Here is a 26,455-nt window from a genome sequence, read left to right as displayed (position 1 = left end):
AGTTTCACCATGTTGGCCAGACGGGTCTCGAACTCCTGACCTCAAGTGATCTGCCCATCTCAGCCTCCCAAAGTGCTGGGATTACAGGCGTGAGCCACCGCGCCCGGCCAAAAAAAGGAATAAATTATAACCAAATATGATAACATGGAAGAACTGCAAAGACAAGACGTGGAGAGAAAGAACCCAGATTCAATACAGGAGTCCATTTTTATCCAGCTCAAAACAAGACAAAACTACTGCGCCAGACTTCGGGCGAGTGGGGATCTGTGGGAATTCGTGCTGGGAAGAAAGACAGGGGGCTTGTGGAGGGTGAGAATGTTCTGTGTCTGGATTTGTATGAATGTCACACAGGTTTGCTCAGTTGGTGACATTTCATCAACCTAAATACTTAATGATTCGTGATCTTTTTTGTACTTCAATTTAAAAAAAAGTGTCGAGCATGACACATTTAGGTAAAAAGAAAAAAATGCACACTCAAAAGAAAAGTCTGTTTCTAGGAGCACATGTTTATATGATGTGCTTAAACGCACAGACAGCAGTTTGGACGAAACTCGACAACGTGTCATATTGGTCACACCCTGCTTAAGAAAGGCAGGGGATGGGGAGGGGCTTCCCCAAGGCTTTACCTCCATCTCTAATGTTTTTTGATGTGTGTGTGTGTTTTTTTTTTTTGTTTTTTGTTTTTTGAGACAGGGTCTGGCTCTGCCACGCAGACTGAAGTGCAGTGGCACCATCATGGTTCACTGCAGCCTCGACCTCCTTGGGCTCAAGCAATCTTCTAGCCTCAGCCTCCTGAGTAGCTGGGACTACAAGTGTGCATCACTACGCTCAGCTAACTTTTTTTTTTTGAGACAGAGTTTCGCTCCTGTTGCCCAGGCTGGAGTGCAATGGCGCGATCTCGGCTCACGGCAACCTCCGCCTCCTGGGTTCAAGCAATTCTCCTGCCTCAGCCTGCCGAGTAGCTGGGATTACAGGCATGTGCCACAACGCCTGGCTAATTTTGTATTTTTAGTAGAGACGGGGTTTCTCCATGTTGCTCAGGCTGGTCTTAAACTCCCAACCTCAGGTGATCCGCCCACCTCGGCCTCCCAAAGTGCTGGGATTGCAGGAGTGAGCCACCACACCGGCCTAACGTTTTACATTTTTTGTAGAGACGGGGTTTTGTCACGTTGTTCAAGCTGGTCTCAAACTCTTAGACTCAAGCGATCCGCCTGCCTTGGCCTCCCAAAGTGCTGGATGACAGGCGTGAGCCCCTGTGAGCCCCCGTGCCTGGTCCGGTATGTAATTTTTTTTAAGGTAACAGTGGATTGTGTGAGGATTAAATGAGTTAATATTTTTAAAGTCCTTACAGCAGTGTGTGGTACACAGTAGGTGCTATGTGGAGGTTTGTTACAATAAAGTCAGAAAGTGAAAATGTTTTCCAGGGTACAAATGGTATCACTTAAACTAGGAATAAGAGACGCCTATGAAGAAATATACAAAATACTATGTCTTGTGAGTTTCCATTCAAACCTTCATGAATTATATATATGAATATGTCCTTCTAGACAGACAGACTTATCTTTTTGAGTGAGTGTGTGTGTTTTTACATAAATATCAGTCATGCTTTAAAAAGAAAAGCCCCTTCTTTTATTGAAGTATGACAGTGACGGGTCTCGACACCGAAAGATGGGGGAGATAGAGAGCCCGCCGGGGAGCTTGAGGGTGGGAGAGCCAGCGATGCCGGAAACCTCAGCAGAAGGGATCCCCGTGTGGGGGAGGGGGGCCTTCGGTCTCTCCCCAGCCTCTTCCTTCCCCCTGGCCTGAGGGTGGGTGGGGAGGGGCAGTTCCTCTTTCCTTCCCAAGCACCGAGGAGGCCCCAGCTCCCTAGGGGCTGAGAAGCTGGAGTCCTGGGCAAGGGGAGGAGCTGAGCCCTACTCTTGCAAGACCCCCGGCCTCCTCACCCCACGCGGGAAGCATGAACAGAAAAGACAGTAAGAGGTGAGAGGACCCTCCCCAGGGAGCCCGGCAGCACCCTGAGGCCTCCCTCTGCATGGGAGGGCTGGGGAGATCACTCGCCAGGGTGGCAGGATTCCTGACTTCTTTGGGATCAGGCGCAGGGGGGCCAGGTGGATGCTTCAGGGAGTCTGGAGCCAGCTACGGCTGCAGTCGCTTGTATGTGGCATCTGTACCGTGTTGTCCCTGGAGTTTGAGCTGCTCCGTGCCCCTTTTCCACTCCTCATCACCCCACCTCCATCCCTGGCCTGGGCTGAGTGTCTCTGCCCTCCCTGGGGGCTTCCTGGTTCCCCATCCCCGTGGACTGGAAACTCCAGGCTCCTGCAGGGCCTGGCCCAGGAGAGGGGAGTGTGGCACAGGGCAAGGCGACTCCCCTGCCTCTTAAACCACTCCTGGCTGTTCCAGACCCCTACAGGGGGCTGCAGGACAGGGCCTAGTGGCTGGCTGTGCGGCCGGTTCTGGAATGGGCTTCATCTCCTGGGCAAGCTGGCCCTTCTGTCCCCACAGAGGCAGATGGTGGGTGGCTCCCTAGCCTGGGTAACTCCTCCTGCCACCCCCAGCACCACTCTGATGGGCAAAGGGCTTTCCTCCCCACCCAGCAGTTTAGTGGTAGACTCCTGGCTGCCTAATTTCCTAGCTGTGTGACCTTAGGTAAGTCACTTAACTGCTCTGTGTCTCGGGTTTTTCTTCTGTCAGTAGAACAATCATATCCTCTACCTCGGAGAGGCCTGTAAGTACTCAATGAGACACTCTAGACCAGTGGTTCTCAAACTGGAGCGAGCCTCAGAACTGTCTGGAGGGCTTGTAAAATACAGGTTGCTGGGCTTACCTTTAAAGTGTTTGGTTTTTTTTTTTTTGTTTTTTTTTTTTGAGACGGAGTCTCGCTCTGCCGCCAGGCTGGAGTGCAGTGGCACAATCTTGGCTCACTGCAACCTCTGCCTCCCGGGTTCAAGCGATCATCCTGCCTCAGCCTCCCAAGTAGCTGGGACTACAGGTGTGCACCACCACACCCAGCTACTTTTTTGTATTTTTAGTAGAGATGGGGTTTCACCATGTTGGGCAGGATGGTCTCGATCTCTTGACCTCGTGATCCACCCACCTCGGCCTCCCAAAGTGCTGGGATTAGAGGCATGAGCCACCACCCTTAGCCTTAAAGTGTTTGATTTTGTAGGTCTGGGTTGGGACCTGAGAATCTGTATTGATATCCAGTTCCCAGGTGATGCTTTTGGTACTAGCTGGGTGCCCACACTTAGGGAAATGCTGACTTAGTTAGAATGCTCCTTCCTTAGCCTAGGACATATATAATACTTTAAAATGTCCCTTCTAGTAACGATGGCTCATGCCTCTAATCCCAGCACTTTGGGAGGATAAGACAAGGAGAACTTGAAGCCAGGAGTTCTAGACCAGCCTGAGAAATATAGTGAGACCCCCCCCCCCATTGACACACACCCAAACACACACACAAAATTAGCTGGGTATGGTCGTGCACACCTGTAGTCCCAGCTACCTGGGAGACTAAGGCAGGAGGATCACTCGAGTCCAGGAGTTCAAGGTTACAATGAGCTTTGATTGCACAACTGTGCTCCAGCCTGGGAGACAGAGCAAGACCCTGTCTGAAAAAGGGTAGAGGTGGGAGCCTGGCGTGATGGCTCACACCTGTAATCCCAGCACTTTCAGAGGCAAAGGTGGGAGGATCAGTTGGGCCCAGGAGTTTGAAACCAGCCTGGCCAACATGGTGAAACCCCATTTCTACTAAAAATACAAAAATTAGCTCGGCGTGGTGGCACGTGCCTGTAGTCCCAACTACTTGGGAGGCTGAGGCAGGAGAATTGCTTGAACCCGGGAGGTGGAGGTTGCAGTGAGCTGAGATCGCACCACTGCACTCCAGCCTGGGTGACAGAGTGAGACCCTGTCTCCAAAAAAAGAAAGAAAGAAAGAAAAAAGAAATCCCTGGAGAAGGTCCAAGGACTATCCTCATTTTTCCTTCGAGGAAATTGAGCCCCAGAGAAATTAAGTGACTAACACGAAGTCACAACAGCTGGCAAAAATTTCTGGATTCTACTTTCGTCTGAAGCTTGGATTCAGCAGCCTCCCTGCTCCCACCATCCTTGTCTCTCCATTACCCTCTTCCCCTATCAGGAACAGCAGCCTCTGGGAGGCACCAGGCAGAGGGAGAATTATTATTACTATTATTACTATTATTATTATTATTATTTTGAGACTAAGACTCGCTCTGTTGCCCAGGCTGGAGTGCAGTGGCACGATCTCGGCTCACTGCAACCTCCGCCTCCTGGGTTCAAGCAAGTCTTCTGCCTCAGCCTCCTGAGTAGCTGGGATTACAGGAGCCCACCACCACGCCTGGCTAATTTTTGTATTTTTAATAGAGATGGGGTTTCACCATGTTGGCCAGGCTGGTCTCGAACTCCTGACCTCAAGTGATCCACCCACCTCAGCCTCCCAAAGTGCTGGGACTACAGGCGTGAGCCACTGTGACTGGCCTCTCTTTTTAATTTTTTTATTATTATTTTTGAAACAGAAATCACTCTGTCACCCAGGTTGGAGCACAGTGATGCAGTTCCGGCTCACTGCAGCCTCCACCTCCTGGGTTCAAGCGACCCTCCTGCCTCAGCCTCCTGAGTAGCTGGGATTACAGGCGCCCGCCATCACGCCTGACCAATTTTTGCATTTTTAGTAGCGATGGGGGTTTCACCATGTTGGCCGGGGTGGTCTCGAACTCCTGGCCTCAAGTGATCCACCCACCTTGGCCTCCCAAAGCTTTGGGATTACAGGCGTGAGCCATCACACTGGTCCAAGAGCCTTGCTCTCTTGAGGGCTGTGGGAGGAAGGAGGGGAGGGTGTTAGAGACCAAACGGGAGCCCTGAGGAGGCAATTCCTGAAGGCAGGTCCTCCCATGCCTCTGCCTGGGGAGGACAGAAGAGATTCCAGGGGTCTTCTCCCGAGTCCCTGGTAGGCCAGGAGTAATCCTGGGATCTGCCAAAAGGAAGTCTCTTCCAGGATGCCCTGGAAGCAGTCAAGAGGAAGTTGGGGGCAATGCCTGGGGAAGGAGTTCTTATGATTCCCTGAGGGGTCTTGAGTGGTCCCAGGGGTCTTCTACTGTGATTCCCTGGGAGATTCAGAGCAGTCCTGAGCGGCGGTCCCCAGGCTTTTTGGCATCAGGGACCAGTTTTGTGGAAGGGGGTGGGGATGGTGTGGGGATGATTCAAGTTAATTACATGTATCCTGTGCTTTATTTTTATTATTATTACATTGTAATATATAATGAAATAGTTACGCAGCTCACCATAATGGAGAATCAGTGGGAGCCCTGAGCTTGTTTTCCTGCAACTGGATGCTCCCATCTGGGGGTGATGAGAGACAGTGACAGATCATCAGGCATTAGGCATCAGGCATCATAAACAGCACGCAGCCTAGATCATCAGGCATCATAAACAGCACGCAGCCTAGATCCCTCGCATGTGAAGTTCACAATAGGGTTCATGCTCCTAAGAGAGTCTAATGCCCCAGCTGATCTGACAGGAGGTGGAGCTCAGGCGGGGGTGCTTGCTTGCCCGCTGGTTCCTAACAGGCCACGGACTGGTACCTGTCTGTGTCCCAGGGGCTGGGGACCCCTGGTCTTGAGGATCTTCCTCTCTGATTCCCTGAAGGGAGCAGGAATATCCCTGGGAGTTTGCTTGTGGGAGAGGGCTCCCATGATTCCCCCAGGGATCTGGAATATTCCTGGGGATTCTCTCTAGAGTCCCTGGTAGGTCAGGGGTAACCCTGGGGCTTTGCCTTTAGGAAGCCTCTCCCGTGGTGCCTTGGGGCATTAGAGTCAAAAGGAATTCTAGGGTCTGTCCGAAAGAAGGTGCTCCCATGACTCCTTGGGGGCTGTGCCCACAGGAAGTCCCACCAGGAATGCACCGGAAAAATAGGAGGGCGAGGCCGGCCCCGCCAAGTGCGCCGCCACAAGACATGCCCCAGCCCTCGGGAAATCAGCAAGGTCATGGCTTCCATGAACCTGGGCCTGCTGAGTGAGGGCGGCTGCAGCGAAGATGAGCTGCTGGAGAAATGCATCCAGTCCTTCGGTAAGTGTCCTCTCCCCAGCAGCCTCCCTGGCCCTAACCTCGGGCTCAGCACTCGCTTCTCTCCACCTCAGTTTTTGGAGGTAAAATGAGAACAGGGCTGGGTGGAATGAAACTCAATCACTACATTAGAGATAACAGAAACACCTGCATTTCTTCTTTCCTGAAATGGAAATATATACATTTATATATATATATAATATATGTGTATATTATATATATTTATATAAATCTTTTTTCTTTTCTTTTCTTTTTCTTTTGAGACAGAGTCTCGCTCTGTTACCCAGGCTGGAGTGCAGTGGCCTGATCTCAGCTCACTGCAACCCCCACCTCCTGGGTTCAAGAGATTCTCCTGCCTCAGCTTCCCGAGTAGCTAGGATTACAGGCACATGCCACCAGGCCCAGCTAATTTTTGTGTTTTTAGTAGAAACGGTGTTTCACCATGTTGGCCAGACTTGTCCCGAACTCCTGGCCTCATATGATCCGCCCGATTCAGCCTCCCAAAGTGCTGGGATTACAGGTGTGAGCCACTGTGCCCGGCCAGTCTGGTGCTATTTCAATCTTCAGCAAGACTTGCCAGGGGTGATGCTGCCCCATGCACAATACAGATAAGGAAACTGAGGCACAGGAGGTTAGGTTGCCTGTCCAAGGTCATGCTGGGGATCACCGTTAGAGCTGGTCTTTGAACCAGGTGGTCCGGCAGGATCTGGAGCTACGCTCTGCATTGCTTGAGGGCCATTCTGTCACAGAGTACCCCTCCTTCCACCCCAGATTCAGCTGGCAGCCTGTGCCACGAGGACCACATGCTCAACATGGTGCTGGCCATGCACAGCTGGGTGCTGCCGTCCGCCGACCTGGCTGCCCGCCTGCTGACCTCATATCCTCCAGGACTGTGAGCTATGGGTGGAGGGCAGAGGGCAGAGTCGTGAGAACCTGGGCAATGGGAATGGGGAGCAGGCAGGTCATGGATCCTGGAAAACAGAGCCTTGACCAGAACTCAAATACCAGAAGGCCACAGGGGACACCCAGGAGCTGAGACGGCTGCAGATCTGTCACCTGGTCAGGTAGGGCTGGGCCGAGATCCCCACTCTCAGGACCCACGACTTCCATCCTGCTTCCCCCTCAAAAAACATTCCTCAGAGAATCCCCAGGCCAGTTCCCACAGACCCAACCAGCCCCACAGGCCAAAATCCCACTTCTGAGACACCTGTAGCTTGGTTCCTAAGACCCTCTTAGTTCCGTTCCTTAGAACCCCCACTTCCTAGAGACCCCCCTCACCAACCAGATCCCATAGACCCTCCTAGCTGGTGCCCAGAGACCTCCAACTCTGATCCCCAAAATCTCTACCTCCCACAGACCCCAGCCTAGCCCATAAGACCCCCTCATTCTGTCCCTCCAAAAATTTCACCCCCGGAAGCCCCCAGTCTAGTTCCTAGGACGCTCCACGATCTTGCTTCCCAATAATCCCACTTCCAAGTGACTCCCCGGTCTGTTTCCCACAGATCCCCCCAGTCTCTGTTAAGAGACCCCCATCCTACTCCAGAGATTCTCCAAGCCTGGTGCCCCTCCAAACCCCAACCCTCCAGGGACCCCCACACACATTTAGAGACCCCCTAGCTCAGCACCTAGAAATTCCTCAGCCCAAAATACCCCTTGTAGAGACCTTCGCCACCCCCGGCCTCATCTCACCATCTCCAAACCACTCTCAGGTACTGGCTGATGCGACACCCTGAGGTGATGCACCAGGATCCCCAGCTAGAAGAAGTCATAGGTCGTTTCTGGGCCACCGTGGCCCGGGAGGGCAACTCAGCCCAGAGAAGACTGGGAGACTCTTCTGACCTGTGAGTCAGCCCTGTGCTCCCCTCTTCCCTGCCCCATCGCCATTCTGCCATCTCCCTCTATATCCCCAAGCCCTCAACTGTGAGCCACTCCAATACCCTGCCCCTCTTGGCCCCCAGCCTGAGCCCTGGTGGCCCTGGCCCCCCACTCCCAATGAGCAGCCCAGGCCTGGGCAAAAAGCGCAAAGTGTCCTTGCTTTTCGACCACTTGGAGACGGGGGAGCTGGCTCAGCACCTCACCTACCTGGAGTTCCGGTCCTTCCAGGCTATCACGGTGAGGACCCCCTCCCATCCCCGTCCCAAGCAGGGGAGACACTGGGGTAGGGGAGGGATTGGCTGGGGGAAGGTAGGACTGAGAGGACACCTGCATGGTCATTCGGCAGAGATCTCAAAGTCTTAAACTCAAACCTGTATGCTAGAAGGTCCAGGAAAATGAGTTAAAGAGGCCAAGGCAGGCAGATCGCCTGAGGTCAGGAGTTTGAGACCAGCCTGGCCAACATGGTGAAACCCCATCTCTACTAAAAATACAAAAATTATCCAGGTGTGGTGGTGCATGCCTGTAATCCCAGCTACTTGGGAGGGTGAGGCAGGAGAATCACTTGAACCTCAGGAGGCGGAGATTACAGTGAGCTGAGATCACACCACTGCACTCCAGCCTGGGCGACAGAGCGAGATTCTGTCTCGAAAAACAACAACAACAAAAAAGTAAAATAAATAAATAAAAGGCTTATTGCAGCGACTGGCACTTAGTAAGTGCTCAAAATATTTTATCATTTATTCAACAAGCATTTAAATTCATGGTGCCTCAGTTTCCTCATCTGTAAAAAGGGGATATGCACAGTTCCTGCCTTGCAGGAACAGTGCCTGGTCCAGGGTAAATGCTATCTGCTTGAACCATTTGAAATTGTCATATATTACCTACCCAAGGATCAGTTTCATGTGCTTCAACATATATATGCATTAGCTTTTGCCATCTGGACATCATCATTTCAAGGGAAGGTGGGGATCTGTTTCCTTCATGTGAAACTGTCCCGATTGTATGTGTGTGTTGTGTGTGTGAGTGTGTATGCAAATATACTCAGTGTAGTGGATGTGGGTATGAAATGAACACTCCTTGGGCAGAACAGATAGAGGTTGATTTCAATTCATCTTCCCCAGCCTTCCCTTTGCTTACTGTATACCAGTCAGGTGTACAGTTAAGAGCATATAGACGCCCACCCTGACTCACACCTGTGTGACCCTGGGCAAATTACCTATCCTCTATGTGCCTCAACTGTCTCACCTCTAAAATGGAATGATACTCACCTCATAGAGTTATGAGGATTAAATTATTTAATATGATTACTTGTCAAATATAGTGCCTGGCTATATTGAAACATGCCTCCTCAGATGGGAGAGGAGCATGGTGACGTTAAGGACATGTAGCAGCCTGAGGGTTGGGGGACAGATGACAAAGGTCACTCCGGCTAGACCAGGCTAGGACATCAGAGATCGTGACTGCTAGTTGGATGCCATGGAAGGGCAGGGCCTGAGCGCCACGGCCCACCTTGACACCCACCTCGCTCCCAGCCCCAGGACCTGCGGAGCTACGTTTTGCAGGGCTCAGTACGAGGCTGCCCGGCCCTGGAGGGCTCCGTAGGTCTCAGCAACAGCGTGTCCCGCTGGGTGCAGGTGATGGTGCTGAGCCGTCCCGGGCCCCTACAGCGTGCACAGGTGCTGGACAAGTTCATTCACGTGGCACAGGTGAGGCCCGCCCCTTGGGGCTGCGAACTCCACTGCACGCAGCCACCTGGTCCTTCCCCTTCCAGACCCTCGACCCCACAGGGTCATCCCGGCGGTGACGTCACGCATCTCCCGGCCCCGCCCCCGAGGCCACAGCCTGGGCATTCCAACCAAGGACCGTAACTTCTTCTTTGGCCTTGATGTCACCGCGTCGCACCCACCGTGGCCCCACCCCTTGGCCCTAGACGTGACAGGCTCCCAAGCCCTATGCCCGAATATTCTATCCCCAGGTCAATGAGAGTGTCTCTTCCATGCCCCCACCTTTGTGGGGCATGGAAGCCCGAGGCTTCAATCCCCAGTCCCCAGGCCCCAGCGGTCGCTTCGGGATTGTGCATCGCTCCCCATTGCGTCCGGGCTCTCCCCGCCCCGCCCCATTGTGTTACGCCCTTCTCTTCCCCTCCCTTCCCCCTCCTTTCCGGACACCTTCTCGCCCTTCTGGGGAAAAGGGAAGCCCTACGGCCCCGCTGTGGCCGCGCCCCCTTGCGTATTTCCACGCAGACCACGCCCTTCCTCTGGTGTCTTCCCTGGCTTGCTTACTCCTGCAGGGCCCCTGAGACCTGGGGGTCTCGACGTCCGCCTGGGGTGTCCTTAGTCTGAGCATTTTCCATTCCTCCCTGGCCCCACTCTCTCCACAGCAACCTCTGCCGAAATTTGTCAAAAGGAGGGCAAGGGAATTCCCCAGCTGCCCTGGTGGCCCCACACCTGTCTAGCATCTGTCTGACTCCTCCATATCTCTCTGGCCCTATTCACCTCTGCCTGGCTCCCAGCTCCTGCCCAGAGCCTGCACCTTCTTGCCTCCCCGCACCTGTGTGACTCTCAGAGCAGTCAGACCCCCAGATGGCTGACACCCTGACATGTCTGAAGCCTCCTCCACCTGACACACACCTGTCTATTCCCCAAATCCGCCCAACTTCTCGTACTTCCTGTCTCCCCAGATTTTCTAACCTCGTATCAGTCAATCACTTGCTTGACCCTCCCGGCTCAGATAGCCATCTGACACCCCTGTGAGGCCCACACATGGCATGTCCCACTCTTGCCGCACACACCCGCCTTCTCTCACCTGTCTGATCCCCACATTGGTCCACACATGCCTGGGACCCCACCTCAACTGGGATGCTGTCATCTGAACTCCTGACTTGCCCTCCCTCCCGTGACGGCCCTGTGTGCATGCTTCTCTTCCTAGAGGCTCCACCAGCTGCAGAATTTCAACACGCTGATGGCAGTCACAGGGGGCCTGTGTCACAGTGCCATCTCCAGACTCAAGGACTCCCATGCCCACCTGAGCCCTGACAGCACCAAGGTGAATCCCACTACCCTCCCCAAAGCTCCAAGTGGTCAGCTGTCTTGAGCCCCCACACCTAATTCCCCAAGCCCTGTCCATTCCTGCCCAGGGGTCCTGGTACCACATGAAGTCCTTGCTCCTCCAAATCCCAGACCCCCAGGCTCTGCCAGCATTCCTCCTCCCTGTCATCCATCCACTCATGGTGCTGATCCCTCTCTGCTTTCAGTGTGTCTGGTCCGGAGCTGGACTGTGAGGGAGACAGATGGGAGACAGGCTAGCAGAGAACTTTGCAGTCCCCATGGGGAGGACTGGCTGAGGTCAGAAAGTGGCAGGAAATTAAGCCGAAGATGCCCTGGGAAGATCCTATAGCGCCTTGTAAGATGGGCTAAGCTAGGGAAGTTTTGAGAGTGATGACACACCCTTGATAAAATCTGGGTTTTTAAGAAATAATTATAGGCTGGGTACAGTGTGGCTCACACTTGTAATCCCAGCGTTTTGGGAGGCCAAGATTGGAGGATCACTTTAGCCCAGGTGTTTCAGACCAGCCTGGGCAACATAGCGAGACCCCATCTCCAGAAATTTTTTTTTTTTTTTTTTTTTTTTTTTGAGACAGAGTCTCGCTCTTGTCGCCCAGGCTGGAGTGCAGTGGTGCAATCTCGGCTCACTGCAACCTCTGCCTCCCGGATTCAGGTAATTCTCCTGCCCCAGCCTCCCGAATAGCTGGGATTACAGGGGTGCACCACCATGCCCTGCTAATTTTGTATTTTTAGTAGAGACAGGGTTTTACCATGTTGGCCAGGCTGGTCTCAAACTCCTGACCTAAGGCGATCCACCCACCTTGGCCTCCAAAAGTGCTGGGATTACAGGTGTGAGCCTCCGCGCCTGGCTGAAAAAAAATTTAAAAATAAATTAGCCAGGGATGGTGGCCCATGCCTGTAGTCCCAGCTACTTGGGAGGCTGAGGGGGAGGACTGCTGGAGCCTCCCCCTCAGCCTTTTCATTGTTGTTTTTTGAGACAGAGTCTCACTCTATCTCCCAGGCTGGAGTACAGTGTCGAAATCTTGGCTCACTGAAGCCTCCACCTCCCAGGTTCAAGCGATTCGCCTGCCTCAGACTCCCGAGTAGCTGGGATTACAGGCCTGCACCACCAGACCCAGTTAATTTTTGTATTTTTAGTAGAGACAGGTTTTTACCATGTTGCCCAGGCTGTTCTCGAACTCCTGACCTCAGATGATCCGCCTGCCTCGGCCTCTCAAAATGCTGGGATTACAGGTGTGAGCCACCGTGCCCAGCCATCAAGCTCAGGAGTTTAAGGCTGCAATGAGCTGTGATCATGACACTGTACTCCAGCCTGGGTGACAGAGTGAGACCCTAGCCTAAAAAATAAATAAATAAAAAGGCCGGTCTTGATGGCTAACGCCTGTAATCCCAACACTTTGGGAGGCCGAGGCAGGCAGATCACCTGAGGTGAGGAGTTTGAGACCAGCCTGGCCAACATGGTAAAACCCTGTCTCTACTAAAAATACAAAATTAGCCTGGCGTGGTGGCTCAATGCCTGTAATCCCAGCTTCTTGGGAGGCTGAGGCAGGAGAATCGCTTGAACCCAGGAGGTGGAGGTGGCAGTAAGCCGAGATCACGCCACTGCACTCTAGCCTGGGCAAGACAGCAAAACTCCATCTCAAAAAAAAAAAAAAAAAAATCAAAAAGAAAGAAAGATAAAAGAAATCATTTTAGCCAAAGAATGGGGGATTGTGGAACTTCTCTGAGATGGGGACCCAAGAGGAAGAGCAGTTTGGGGGAGATGCTGAGACCGGCATGGGATATGGAAGGGCTCCAGAGGTTTCCACAATGCCACTGGGTCCCTGAAGGCCTAGAGCCCACACAGGAGGCTGCTCAGGGGATGGGACTGTCCTGATAACGCCCCAATCCCATGTCCCTCCTCCCCAGGCCCTCCTGGAGCTCACTGAGCTCCTTGCCTCCCACAACAACTACGCCCGCTACCGCCGCACCTGGGCTGGCTGCGCGGGTTTCCGGCTGCCTGTACTGGGCGTGCACCTCAAGGACCTGGTGTCCCTGCATGAGGCACAGCCCGACAGGTTGCCTGACGGCCGCCTGCACCTACCCAAGCTGAACAACCTCTACCTGCGGCTGCAGGAGCTGGTGGCCCTCCAAGGGCAGCATCCACCCTGCAGCGCCAATGAGGATCTGCTGCACCTGCTCACGGTGAGCCCCCCTGGCCCCGCCCAGGCTGGGCTTCCAAGGGTACTGAGATATAGGGTCCTGGGTGTGTGAGTGTCTCCAGGACCAGGATAGAAAAGTGCTGGAGTGCATGGGTTTTGAAGCCAGAACTTCTAGGTTTTTTTCTAGCTGCGTGATCTTGGGCAAGTCACTGAACCCTTAAGCCTCAGTTTCCTTATCCACAAAATGGGAATAATAAAAGGACCCAGCCGGGCGCAGTGGCTCACGCCTGTGATCCCAACACTTTGGGACGCTGAGGTGGGCAGATCACCTGAGGTCAGGAGTTCGAGACCAGCCTGACCAACATGGAGAAACCCCGTCTCTACTAAAAATACAAAATTAGCCAGGAGTGGTGGTGCGTGCCTGTAATCCCAGCTACTTGGGAGGCTGAGGCAGGAGAATTGCTTGAACCCGGGAGGTGGAGGTTGCAGTGAGCTGAGATTGCGCCATTGCGCCATTGCACCCCAGCCTGGGCAAGAAGAGCGAAACTCCTTCTCAAAATAAATAAATAAATAAAAATAAAATAAAATAAAAGGACCCACTTCAGAGGGTGGTTGAGGAGAGACAGCCAATGACATCGTTCAAAGAATGTCTTTAAGACAGTGTCTAGCCGGGCGCAGTGGCTCATGCCTCTAATCCTAGCACTTTGGGAGGCTGAGGTAGGCGGATTGCCTGAGGAGTTTGAGACCAGCCTAGGCAACATGGTGAAACCCCATCTCTACTAAAAATACAAAAAATTAGCCTGGCATAGTGGCACACGCCTGTAATCCCAGCTACTTGGGAGGCTGAGGCATGAGAATCGCTTGAACCTGGGAGGCGGAGGTTGCAGTGAGCCAAGATCGTACCACTACACTCCAGCCTGGGTGACAGAGCAAGACTCTGTCTCAAAAAACGACAGTATATGGAGCAGAGTGAGCTCTGTATTCTATTTAAGTAACATGTTTTTTCCCCACTTCCTCCAATGACTCAAGTATCCATTGATCTGAGCTCTGGAATTGCTTTGGGGTTCACATTCTTAAACTCCAAGGTTCTGAGCTTCTCATGCTGATAGCCCAAAATCTCAAGCTTTGACATATCCAAGAATCTAAGCAAAAGGCTACTAACAGTTATTGATCATTGACTGTGTGCCAGGTACCTCATTCCACCTTACAACCCTATGAGGTCGGGACCCTTACTGTGCCCATTCTGTAGATTGGGAAACTGAGGCCCAGAGAGGTGAGGTCCCTTGCCCACTGTCCCACAGCAGTAATGCCAGGATTTGAACCCAGGAGGGGCTTTGGGAAGAGCCTGCGAGTGGGTGTGGGGGTCTGGGGCAGGGCTATAGATGGGAGGATCCGTAACACCCCTGTCTGCTCCAGCTCTCCCTGGACCTCTTCTACACGGAAGACGAGATCTATGAGCTTTCTTATGCCCGGGAGCCGCGTTGTCCCAAGAGCCTGGTGAGACCCAACCCCTGGCCTCGGACTCCCCCAATTACCTCGAACCCCCCCTAAGCCTATGCAGTGACTAACTGTGCTCCTCTGTCCCCGCCCCAGCCACCCTCCCCCTTCAATGCACCTCTGGTGGTGGAGTGGGCCCCTGGTGTGACACCCAAGCCGGACAGGGTCACACTGGGTCGGCATGTGGAGCAGCTGGTGGAGGTAAGGAGGGGAGGGTGGCCCGGCCGCCAGCAGCCAGGAGGGAAGACATCTGTAGAACCCTGAGCCTGGAGGTGGGGACTTATGGCCATGGGGATCATATTTCGACAACTGGGCCTTATCTGCTTCCCCACACTCCTCTGAAGTCTGTGTTCAAGAATTATGACCCTGAAGGCCGAGGAACAATCTCTCAGGAGGACTTTGAGCGACTCTCGGGCAATTTTCCCTTCGCCTGCCATGGGCTTCACCCACCCCCACGCCAGGGGTAAGTGGTTGTGACTCCTGGATCCTCCGAAGATGAGGACACTGGGGTTGCCTGGACTCCTGGGTCTGGAGGACGTTGGGGCAGGTCATGCTGAGGCTCAGTTTCTGCCCCCAGGAGAGGATCCTTCAGCAGAGAGGAGCTGACAGGGTACCTGCTCCGGGCCAGCGCCATCTGCTCCAAGTTGGGCCTGGCCTTCCTGCACACCTTCCATGAGGTCACCTTCCGAAAGCCTACCTTCTGCGACAGCTGCAGTGGCTTCGTGAGCACCCCACCCCATCACCACCCTTAGGTTCCATCTGTCCTGAAGCCGGCAGTCCGCAAACCCCAGATAACCCCCAAATTCCAGAAATCCTCCAGCTTCAAATCATCCTGTTTCATATAAACCCTAAACACCAGACATTCCCTATATCCTGGATAATCTCCAAATGCCAGATAATCCCAAAATCCCAGATAATGTCCACCCCAGACAATTGCTGAACCATGGATAATACCTAAAACTCTAGATAGGAGGCCAGGAGTGGTGGCTCACGCCTGTAATCCCAGCACTTGGGGAGGCTGAGGTGGGCGGATTGCTTGAGCTCAAGAGTTCAAGACCAGCCTAGGGAACATAGCAAGAGAGACCCCGTCTCTACTAAAAATACAAAAATTAGCTGCATGTGGTGGTGCATACCTGTGATCCCAGCTACTCAGGAGGCTGAGGCACGAGAATTGCTTGAACCCAGGAGGTGGAGGTTGCATGAGCCAAGATCGCAGCACTGCACTCCAGCTTGGGTGACAGAGCGAGATTCTGTCTCAAAAACAACAACAACAACAACAACAACAACAACAACAACAACAACAACAACAAACCTGGATAATCTCCAAACCGGGTAGATTATGTTCAAACAGAATCATCCTCCAAATCTCTAGACTCCAGATCATTCAAACTCTGAATAACTTCCAAATTCAAGAGATCCTCAAACTCTGGCTAGTGGATCAATCTCTCAACCTATAACCCGAGACTAATTCACAAACCTTGGATTACTTCCCACATTCATTTATTCATTCATGAAATATTTACTGAGCACCTCCTGTGTGCCAGGTAATCCTAGGCCCTGGGGTTACAGCAGGAATACAGCAGACAACTCTTGCCCATAGAATTTGCATTTTAGTAACTCTAAATTTTACCTAAATCTAATATCTGAGGTGATTATCTAAACTTGAGATAATCTCCAAGTTTCCTTTATTTATTTTGTTAAGAGATGGGTCTTGCTCTATTACCCAGGCTGGAGTGCCGTGGTACGATCATGGTTCATTGCAGCCTCCAATCCTGAGCTCAAGCGATCCTCCCACCTTGGCCTCCCAACCTCCCACCTTGGCGTCTCAAAGTGCTGGGATTACTGGCATGAGCCACTGTACCCCACCCACATTCCTTTAATTCCAGTTAAATCTCTAGCCTTGAGAATTTCAAAACCTGGGTAGCTTCCACACTTCCACTCCCCAGCTGCCCTGCCAATCCACAGCCCTCCCTCTCCTAGGATGGGTAACCTTTTCTCCTTTCTCTTCCCAGCTCTGGGGTGTCACCAAGCAAGGCTACCGCTGTCGGGGTGAGTGGGGTGTCAGTGAGTGGGAGGGAAGCCTTGGCCCGCAGGCTGGAAGAATGGATGACACAGATCGGACCCCTGCCGCTGCCTTCCCCCAGAGTGCGGGCTGTGTTGCCACAAACACTGCAGAGACCAGGTGAAGGTAGAATGTAAGAAGAGGCCAGGGGCCAAGGGCGATGCAGGACCCCCCGGAGCTCCTGTCCCATCCACACCAGCTCCCCATGCCAGCTGTGGTAAGACCTAGAGCACACCGGTGCTGGGAAGGGGCCTGGGGGAAAGGGGTTGAGTCCAAGGTCAAGAAGAGGTCCTTCCCATCAGACCCACATCCCTTCCATCCACCCACAAACAGGCTCCGAGGAAAATCACTCCTACACGCTATCCCTGGAGCCTGAGACTGGGTGCCAGCTTCGCCATGCCTGGACCCAGACTGAATCCCCACACCCTTCCTGGGAAACAGATACGGTGAGGAGAAACCGCCCCTACCCCCAAGTGGATACAGGGGACACAGGCCATTGGCGTGGGGAAGACTGGACAGATTTGGAGACCCATAGAAAGTACAAATATGCAGAAGTCCTTGACTGCTGGGGTAGGAGGGTATGGATACTGGTTACTTTTTAATATTGATAGAAAAATAGGCTGGGTGTGGTGGCTCATGCTTGTAATCCCAGGACTTCGGGGAGGCTGAGGTGGGAGGATCACTTGAGGTCAGAAGTTCGAGATCAGCCTGGCCAACGTGATAAAACCCTATCTCTACTAAAAATACAAAAATTAGCCAAGTGTGATGGCGGGTGCCTGTAGTCCCAGCTACACGGGAGGCTGAGGCAGGAGAATCACTTGAGCCCGGGAGGCAGAGGCTGTAGTGAGCTGAGATTGTGCCACTGCACACCAGCCTAGGTGACAGAGCAAGACCCTGTCTCAAAAAAAAAAAAAAAAGAAAAATAGAAGTTTCAACATGTTGGGGGTAGGGTGGGGACAATAACCACTAGGAGAACAGAAAAAAGGATTCTAGCCAATAAGATAGCAAGAATAAGGCCAAATATATCAGGAGCTACTGTACGGGTTAATGGAGTAAACGCCACTATTTGAGGGCAGAGACTCTCAGATTGGGTTACAAAAAGGATTCCACAGGGGACGTTCATTCATCCACTTACCAGTCTGGGCAGGGAAGTGTTCCTGGCAGTGAAGCGTCTCCTAGACATCATATGCTCCCCACATCATCTGTCATCTTTCTTCCTCCCTTCCTCCTTCCAGGTCCCCTGCCCGGTGATGGACCCACCATCAACTGCATCCTCCAAGCTGGATTCCTAGACATCTCTTGGTCTCCTCTCTTCCTCACTCCCTTCCCCCAGTCAGTCCTGAGTCCTGCCGTCAGACTCTGGCAGGGCTCCCAGAGGTAGGCCTCCAGAGGCATCCGCCTTCCCATCCACACTGCCTTTAGTGGTACGTCCGTCATCTTTTTCCCTGGAAGTGACTTTCCTCTTTTGCATCCTGGTGGATGCTAATCCTGCTCCCTTTCCCTGCACTTAGTATCTGTGCGGCTGTGTGTTGGATACATTTAGACTCAGGCCTCATTCTACCAACTCCCTACATCTCCATTTCTTTTTTTTTTTGAGACAGAGTCTTGCTCTGTCACCCAGGCTGGAGTGCAATGATGCAATCTCAGCTCACTGCAACTTCCGCCTCCTGGGTTCAAGTGATTCTTCTGCCTCAGCCTCCCAAGTAGCTGGGATTACAGGCACGCGCCACCATGCCCGGCTAATTTTTGTATTTTTAGTAGAGACGGGGTTTCCCCATGTTGGCCAAGATGGTCTCAAACTCCTGACCTCATGATCCACCAGCCTCAGCCTCCCAAAGTGCTGGGAATACAGGCGTGAGCCACCACGCCCAGCTCCTGTTTTTCTGCATAGAATGTGCTCCCTCTGACAGCCTATACTTTTTCCCTCTTTATCTCGTTGAACGTCTGTCTTTCCTCAACAGGAGCATCAACTCCAGGAGAACAGGGATTTCTATCAATGTCATTCACTGCTGCATCCCCAGTGCCTAGAACAGGGCTGGCAGGTGGTAGGCGCCTGACAGATGCTTGTCTGATGCCTGAATGTCTCCTTACCCATGCCCACGGCACAGGATAGATGTGCTATAGGGCAAAGAACTTTGAGGGTCGAGCAGCAGGGGCCCATTCAGTCCCAGGGAGCAGAGACCCCCCCAACCCCTTCACAAACCCCAACACCCCTGACTTGGCCCCCACAGAGAGAGGTCCTACAGCTGTCATAAATTAAATTTATTCTCTGGAGAACATGGTTCTTGGTATTGACGTGAATGGGAGCAGGGCATTTGGGGACTCAGGAATAGGAGATGGGGGGCTTGGGTGCCAAATACCAAGGAAAGCCTTAAACGGACTCCCCAGAGATTACCGATAGCATTAGCATCTCATGGAGGACCCCCCGCCCCCGACCACCAGTCCCCCTTTACTTCTTCTTCTTCTTCTTGCGACCCCAACACTGGGGGCCTCCATCCTCTCTTCGGCTCCTCCAGGTGGGCATGGGAGGCTCCAGCTCATTTGGGCGGCCCCCCCGGTCTGGAACGTTGCCCATAAGCACCTGAGAGTTTATGAGATTTGAGTTGCAGAGAAAAAAAGTATCTTGGACAAGGGGGCCAGAGAGCGAAGGGAACAGCATGAGGCTGAAGAAGAAACAGCAGATGTTGACTATTTGAGTACAGTGGCTGGGGGAGGGGGGACTGAACTGGTGGAAGATACTAGCATGAGCTTTCTTTTTTCTTTTCTTTTTTTTGAGACGGAGTCTCACTCTGTTGCCCAGGCTGGAGTGCAGTGGTGTGATCTCAGCTCACTGCAACCTCCACCTACCGGGTTCAAGAGATTCTCCTGCCTCAGCCTCCCAAGTAGCTGGGACTACAGGTGCGTGCCACCACGCCTGGCTAATTTTTTATATTTTTAGTAGAGACAGGGTTTCACCGTGTTAGCCAGGATGGTCTCGATCTCTTGACCTTGTGATCCGCCCACCTTGGCCTCCCAAAGTGCTGGGATTACAAGCGTGAGCCACTGCACCCAGCCTACTTTTCTTTTCTTTTTTTTTTTTTGAGACAGAGTCGCCTAGGCTCTGTCGCCCAGGCTGGAGCTCAGTGGCGAGAACCCGGCTCACTGCAACCTCTGCTCCTGGGCTCAAGTGATCCACCCACCTCGGGCTCAGTTTTTTTCTTAACTTAAATTTTGCCTCAATAGTTGCTGTGTTAGACTTTATTCCCTAATACTCATTTTACATAAGACTACTTACAGAGGCATGCGGCTAGATACCTAATCACTAAAACAGAGGGTATTTCTGTTTTTTGTTTGTTTGTTTGTTTGAGACAGAGTCTTGCTCTGTCGCCCAGGCTGGAGTGCAGTGGTGCCATCTTGGCTCACTGCAAGCTCCGCCTCCTGGGTTCACGCCATTCTCCTGCCTCAGCCTCCTGAGTAGCTGGGACTACAGGTGTCTGCCACCACGCCCGGCTAATTTTTTTTTTGTATTTTTAGTAGAGATGGGGTTTCACCGTGTTAGCCAGGATGGTCTCGATCTCCTAACCTCGTGATCCGCCTGCCTCGGCCTCCCAAAGTGCTGGGATTACAGGCGTGAGCCACTGTGCCTGGCCTATTTCTGTCTTTGTTTTTTTTTTTTAAATGGTTAAAAGGGTGCGGTTTCTCACACCTGTAATCCCAGCACTTTAGGAGGCCACGGCGGGTAGATCACAAGGTCAGGAGTTCAAGACCAGCCTGACCAATATGGTGAAACCCCGTCACTACTAAAGATACAAAAATTAGCCGGACATGGTGGTGGGTGCCTGTAATCCTAGCTACTCGGTAGGCTGAGGCAGGAGAATCGCTTGAACCCGGGAGGTGGAGGTTGCAGTGAGCCAAGATCAAGCCACTGCATTGCAGCCTGGGTGACAGAGCAAGACTCTGTCTTGAAAAAAAAAAAGGTTAAAAAACAACAAATAGGTAGTGTTTGGTGATAGGGAAGGATTTTAAGCCCAAGCTGGAGAAGTAGCCAGGGACTCAGTAAATAGCTAGACTTTGTTTTCAGATCATTAGGGAGCCACGGAAGCATTCTGAGCTGGGGAGTCCACAGTCAGTTTTTGTGTGAGCGAGGTCCTTCTAGCTGCCATGTCTAGTGGGTGGATTAGAGGTGGTAAGTCTGAAACTTGGACTGGAGCAGAGGCTGAAAGGCCAATCTGAAGGCCAAGGATGCCAGGGCCCTTCCCTACCCCAGATGCCCACCTTGTTGATGGCACAGCAGGTCCCTCTGCGGACAGCCACGCTGGTGGCTGGGACGAGACAAGACAGGTCGGCTCGGGCAGCCAGAACGTGTGCAATGGAGATGTCCGATTCTGGGGTCAGAACCTCTCGAATTGGGATCAGCACTGCCCTCATGGCCTCTCCTTGGGCCTGGAGTGGGGAGGAGGTAAGAGAAGGTACCCTGGAGCCCTTCCCCACGTGGGACCTGTCATCTTGGAAGCATTACTTTACCATTCAAGACCTCACTGCCCACAGCTCAAATAAATATTTATTTTTTGAGACAGGGTCTCGCTGTCACCCAGCCTGGAGTGTGGTGGCGTGATGGTGGCTCACTGCAGCCTCAATCTCCTGGGCTCAAGTGATCCTCCTACCTTAGCCTCCTGAGTAACTGAGATGGACAAGCATGCGCCACCATGCCCAGCTAATTTTTTTTTTTTTAATTTTTAGTAGAGACGGGGGTCTTGCTATGTTGCCCAAGGTGGTCTCAAACTTCTGAGCTCAAGTGATCCTCTTGCCTTGGCCTCCCAAAGTGCTGGGATAACAGGCATGAGCCACTGTGCCTGACTCTGCTCGTATCTCTTAAAGATGGGGTACACTTGGCCAGGCGTGGTGGCTCATGCCTGCAATCCCAGAACCTTGGAAGGCCAAGGCAGGCAGATCACCTGAGGTTGGGAGTTTGAGACCAGCCTAACCAACATGGAGAAACCCTGTCTGTACTAAAAAATACAAAATTAGCCCGGCGTGGTGGTGCATGCCTGAAATCCCAGCTACTCGGGAGGCTGAGGCAAGAAAATCACTTGAACCCAGGAGGCGGAGGTTGCGGTGAGCCAAGATCGCACCATTGCACTCCAGCGTGGCCAACAAAAGCAAAACTCCGTCTCAAAAAATAAAAAATAAAAAAAAAAGGCTGGGTGCAGTGGCTCATGCCTGTAATCCTAGCACTTTGGGAGGCCAAGACAGGCAGATCACAAGGTCAGGAGATCGAGACCATCCTAGCCAACATGGTGAAACCCTGTCTCTACTAAAAATACAAAAATTAGCTGGGCATGGTGGCATGTGCCCGTAATCCCAGCTACTCAGGAGGCTGAGGCAGGAGAATCACTTGAACCCGGGAGTCGGAGGTTGCAGTGAGCTGAGATCGCACCACCACACTCCAGCCTGGCAACAGAGTGAGACCCCGTCTCAAAAAAAAAAAAAAAATGATGGGGTATGCCTCTGAATATACTGCCAGCTCAGAGCTGGGAATTCAACAATACCCTGGGACCCTGAGATTCTAGGAGCCCCAAACCTCAAAAAATTATAAAATGTCCATGGCCTGAGAACCTGCAAGAGGGTGATACTCCTGGCCCTCATTCCTCCTCCCTGCAACTGCAGCCCCCACAACTGGGCCTCTCCAATTCTGCATGGTCCCCTGCCCACCACACCTCTGCCCGGTCACTCCAGTGGAAAGCAGATGTAGTGAGGTCAAGGCGCTTGAGGAGGAGGCAGCGGCGGCAGCGGTACTGATCTCTGAGGCTTTGGGACAGAGACTCCAACGCTTCCTGGGAGAAAAGGTCTCAAGGTCAGGCTAGGGGTCCCTCTCACTGCCACCTCTGATGAGGACACAGTTCACATTCAGTCAGTCGCACACAGTCTTACCCATCTGGGTGCATCTAGCGAGCAGCTGAGGAGGGGCTGCAGGGACCCTGGGGGCAGAGAAGGCTGCAGCTCTGAGATCTGATGGGAGAAGAAGTCAGAGGCCAACTGGGGCAGAGAGGATGGGCCCCTCTGTAAACTCAGCTCCCCACACCCCTGAGGACCTAGGCCACAGATGTGAGAATGCCAGTCACAGCTCCAGAAAAAACAGGCCAGTGGTTGGAATACTCCTTCCAGAAGTGGAGAGAGGACCCCCACCCCCACAAGGAAAGTGGGGTAGCCCAGGTCGGGAGGGGACTCTGACTCTCTACCTTAGCATGCAACTCCTGCAGCAGCTGGCTGGCGGGGGTCCCTGGTGCAGGTCTGGGCAGCCCCAGGGCTTGGAGGGTAAGGTCCAGTTCTTGGACCATGCCGGCTCCCTCCACTACCCCTTCACCAAGGGGTGGCCTAGGACTCGGATCCAGCAGAGAGCGGAGGCACAGGAGGCGGGTGGCTTGGAGCTCTGAGCAGAGAAAGCCTGAAAGTAATAAATGGGTGCTGTGCACTCAGGGAGGCTGCTACCCACTCATCCATCTTGGTCAAAAAGCTCCACTGATGGCCGGGTGCGGTGGCTCACACCTGTAATCCCAGCACTTTGGGAGGCAGAGGCGGGCGGATCACGAGGTCAGGAGATGGAGACCAGCCTGGCCAACATGGTGAAACTGTGTCTCTACTAAAAATACAAAAATTAGCAGGACATAGTGGTGAGTGCTTGTAATCCCAGCTACTCGGGAGGCTGAAGCAGGAAAATCGCTTGAACCAGGAAGTTGGAGGTTGCAGTGAGCTGAGATCATGTCACTGTACTCCAGCCTGGCAACAGGGCGAGACTCCATTTCAAAAAAAAAAGAGGCTCCACCGGCTTTAAAACCTCCACCTTTGCCCAGGCACAGTGGCTCATGCCTGTAGCCTGTAATCCCAACACCTTGGGAGGCTGAGGTGGGAGGATCGCTTGAAGCCAGGAGTTGAAGACCAGACAGGGCAACATAGGGAGACCCCACCTCCACTTAAAAACAAAACAAAACAAAATCCTCCACCTTCTAGTCCCCCCCACCTAAAGCCTTCCAGAGTAAGCCCCACCTTGAGACCCTGTCCCCTCCTACGAATTCCACTCCTGCCCACTTTGAAACCTCAAGCCTTCCTCCTAATCCAACCCACTTGAGCTCCTAGGCCCTCCAATTAAAATTCTAACCCCGGGCCGGGCGTGGTGGGCTCACGCCTGTAATCCCAACACTTTGGGAGGCCGAGGTGGACAGATCACCTGGGGTCAGGAGTTCGAGACCTGCCTGGCTAACATGGTGAAACCCCGTTTCTACTAAAAATAGCCGAGTGTGGTGTCGCGCGCCTGTAATCCCAGCTACTCGGGAGGCTGAGGCAAGAGAATCACTTGAACCTGGGAGGTGGAGGTTGCAGTGAGCCGAGATCACGCCACTGCACTCCAGCTTGGGTAACAAGAGTGAAACTCCATCTCAAAAATAATAATAATAAAATAAATAAAAAATAAAACGAAATTCTACCCCCGCCCATTTTAGAGCGCTCTGCTTGCCCCAACATGCTCACCCCACCCACCTCGTACCCTCTGGGCCGCCCCAAAGTTCTGACCACACCCCTTGGGAACCTCGATTTCCCCTAAAAAGTCAGAGCCCGCCGCTCCGGAGGCCATGGCCTTGCCACTTCTGCATCCCGGGACTCACGCAGCAGGCGCAGTCCGGCACCGGGTTCCCGAAGCGCAGCCGCGCCATCCCCGCCGCAGAGCGCGCGATCCGGGCAGTGCAGCTCCCGCAGCAGGCTGCCGAGCTGCCGCAGAAAGTCCTCCTCCGCGCCAGGGCCTGCGAGGACAGGGGTGTCAGGGCTCGGTGGCCCCGTGGCGGCCCCCCTGCCACCCTCCCGCTCCGTGTTTACCGTCGCCGGCGCTCAGCACCTCCGCGCCCGCCTCTCGCTGCTGCTCGAGGGCGCCCAGCGTCGCCAGCTCCGCCGCCAGCCGCACGCACAGCCCCCTGAAGTCTGGGCATGAGGCGCCCCGCGACGCCGCCCCCGGGACACCTCCATACCTGTGGGGACCGAGGCAGCGGGAGGGGGCGGGGATGTCACTGGGAATCCCTTTTCGTCCGCGTCCAGGGGGCAGACCTGGCCTTCCTGCACCCACCAGCCTCACCGCACACCCTTTTACCCCAGAGCCAGCAGGTCCTGGGCCACCGCGGCCCCCTCCCACGCTTCCGCCTTCACCGCCTCCATGAAAGTGTGGTCTCGGCGCGCCCCCTGGCGGCCGGTGGCAGGCTCCGCCCCAAAAGCGCCGCGCGCACGAGCTCCCCGCAGCGTCCGGCGGCACTGACCAATCGGCATCTTCCCGCGCAGGGGCTTGGGTGCTCCCATTGGCGCAGGAGGACGCCGAACCCGCCCCGGGGCCCGCCCGCCCCGCCCCTCGGCTAACCTGTCGGGGTTGTAGGAACGCCCCCTGGAGCTGTAAATTGCAGTGCGTTCGGGATCTCCGCTGTCAAGACAAGCTGGCGGCGGGTGTCACTGTTGCGGCGACATAAAAACAACTTCGGTGCCATTTTCCTTTTCCTCCCTCAGTTGTCTTCTGCTGGTGTTTTGTTGGTTTGTTTTTGAGGCAGATTTCGCTCTATCGTTCAGGCTGGACTGCAGTGGCGCCATCGCGGCTCACTGCAGTCTCGACCTTCTGGGCTCAAGAGATCCTCCCGCCTCAGCCTCCCAGCTAAATTTTTAAAAATCAGTCAGCCTTGGTGGCTTACACCTAGTAGCTGGGACCACAGGCGCAGACCACCGCGCCTGGCTGATTTGTTTTTAATTTTTTTGTAGAGACAAGGTTTCCTCATGTTGCCCAGCCTGGTTTCCAACTGCTGGGTTCAAGCGATCCGCCTGCCTCGGCCTCCCAAAGTGCTGGAATTACAGGCGTGAGCCACTGCAACCGGCCAATTTTTTTTTTTTTTTAAAGTTTTGTAGAGGCCGGGCACGGTGGCTCACGCATGTAATCCCAGCACTTTGGGAGGCTGAGGTGGGTGGATCACTTGAGGTCAGGAGTTCGAGACCAGCCTGGGCACATGGTGAAACCTCATCTCTAATAAAAATACAAAAATTAGCCGGGCGTGGTGGCACACGCCTGTAGTCACCACTATTTGGGAGGCTGAGGCAGGAGAATTGCTTGAGCCCGGGAGACACAGACTGCAGTGAGCCAAGATCGCGCCACTGCACTCCAGCCTGGGGACAGAGCAAGACTCCGTGTCAAAAAAGAAATAAAGTTTTGTAGAGAGGGGTCTAGCTATGTCGCCCAGGTTTGCCTCTAACTCCAGTGTTCAAGCAATCCTTCCCTCTCAGCCTTCCAAAGCTTGGGATTACAGGCTTGAGCCAGTGTTCCTGGCCCTGTCCTCTGCTCTTAAAGCAGCCCAGACGGAGTGGTGTTCACCCAACTCTGCCTAAAATCCAAAACTTCCTCCCTCCTTTCCACCTCAGGGTTTGAATTACATAAGGGACCCAGGAATCCCAGCACACCCCTCACACACCAGGCCCTCCTCATCGATCACGATGTGCCTGTTAGGCCTTCACTCCTCTCCCTCTTAGGCCTTGGAGTGAGCAGGTGCAATGCACCATAGTGGTTAAGAGATTACACCCTAGGAATCAGGCAAAGGGTTAGGGCTTGATTCTGTTACTCGCCAGCTCCATGTTCCTGCCAAATTGCTTCCCATCTGTATAATGGGGATAATAGTACCTACCTCTTAGAGTTGTTGCTGAGGATTAATTAGAGTTTCATATGTAAAAAGTGCTTAGCAGATATAT

At 53.4% G+C, this 26,455-nt stretch overlaps 2 protein-coding genes across 11 annotated transcripts, besides 4 other annotated features; one reads left to right on the top strand and one right to left on the bottom strand.

The window, feature by feature from the left end:
- Positions 488-1,002: an enhancer, noted in NCBI's record as "H3K4me1 hESC enhancer chr19:38917687-38918201 (GRCh37/hg19 assembly coordinates)". NCBI's record gives its function as "activates a minimal SCP1, AML or CMV promoter by ChIP-STARR-seq in primed H9 embryonic stem cells {active_cell/tissue: H9 hESC(primed)}" and the evidence as "EXISTENCE:reporter gene assay evidence [ECO:0000049][PMID:30033119]".
- RASGRP4 (RAS guanyl releasing protein 4) lies at positions 1,830-18,991 on the top strand. Of its 8 annotated transcripts, XR_935732.3 has the most exons (18): positions 1,830-1,980; positions 5,896-6,080; positions 6,849-6,954; positions 7,079-7,141; positions 7,787-7,918; positions 8,036-8,189; positions 9,485-9,658; positions 10,881-10,997; positions 12,926-13,201; positions 14,575-14,655; positions 14,752-14,856; positions 15,000-15,118; positions 15,233-15,377; positions 16,668-16,704; positions 16,800-16,934; positions 17,051-17,163; positions 17,953-18,094; positions 18,679-18,991. XR_935732.3 is itself a non-coding variant. In NM_001146202.2 (17 exons), exons 1-17 carry the CDS (start codon positions 1,958-1,960, stop codon positions 18,007-18,009), a joined length of 1,980 nt encoding a protein of 659 aa, NP_001139674.1. In that variant the 5' UTR covers positions 1,830-1,957; the 3' UTR covers positions 18,010-18,991. The 8 variants fall into 8 exon arrangements, 7 of the variants coding, with proteins under 7 accessions (NP_001139674.1, NP_001139677.1, NP_001139676.1 ...); NM_001146202.2 differs by having other exon boundaries at positions 8,078-8,189; positions 17,953-18,991; NM_001146205.2 differs by having other exon boundaries at positions 9,587-9,658; positions 17,953-18,991.
- Positions 1,895-1,954: a silencer, noted in NCBI's record as "silent region_10574". NCBI's record gives its function as "represses an Ori minimal core promoter by ATAC-STARR-seq in GM12878 lymphoblastoid cells {active_cell/tissue: GM12878}" and the evidence as "EXISTENCE:reporter gene assay evidence [ECO:0000049][PMID:35858748]".
- On the bottom strand, positions 18,961-24,956 carry FAM98C (family with sequence similarity 98 member C). 3 transcript variants are annotated; one of them, NM_174905.4, is made up of 8 exons: positions 24,831-24,956; positions 24,563-24,711; positions 24,355-24,489; positions 22,936-23,141; positions 22,628-22,705; positions 22,414-22,530; positions 20,972-21,139; positions 18,965-19,298 (listed from the first exon to the last, which is right to left on the bottom strand). In NM_174905.4, the coding sequence occupies exons 1-8, from the start codon at positions 24,893-24,895 to the stop codon at positions 19,167-19,169; spliced, it is 1,050 nt and encodes a 349-aa protein (NP_777565.3). In that variant the 5' UTR covers positions 24,896-24,956; the 3' UTR covers positions 18,965-19,166. The 3 variants fall into 3 exon arrangements, with proteins under 3 accessions (NP_001338604.1, NP_777565.3, XP_016881843.1); NM_001351675.1 differs by lacking the exons at positions 20,972-21,139; positions 22,628-22,705 and having other exon boundaries at positions 18,961-19,298; positions 24,831-24,914; XM_017026354.2 differs by lacking the exons at positions 18,965-19,298; positions 20,972-21,139 and having other exon boundaries at positions 22,438-22,530; positions 22,628-22,674.
- Positions 24,450-24,649: a silencer, noted in NCBI's record as "silent region_10573". NCBI's record gives its function as "represses an Ori minimal core promoter by ATAC-STARR-seq in GM12878 lymphoblastoid cells {active_cell/tissue: GM12878}" and the evidence as "EXISTENCE:reporter gene assay evidence [ECO:0000049][PMID:35858748]".
- Positions 24,840-25,169: a silencer, noted in NCBI's record as "silent region_10572". NCBI's record gives its function as "represses an Ori minimal core promoter by ATAC-STARR-seq in GM12878 lymphoblastoid cells {active_cell/tissue: GM12878}" and the evidence as "EXISTENCE:reporter gene assay evidence [ECO:0000049][PMID:35858748]".

Source organism: Homo sapiens, chromosome 19, assembly GCF_000001405.40.
Source record: "Homo sapiens chromosome 19, GRCh38.p14 Primary Assembly".
Lineage (NCBI taxonomy): Eukaryota > Metazoa > Chordata > Mammalia > Primates > Hominidae > Homo > Homo sapiens.
This window is presented reverse-complemented; position numbering and strand designations above follow the sequence as displayed.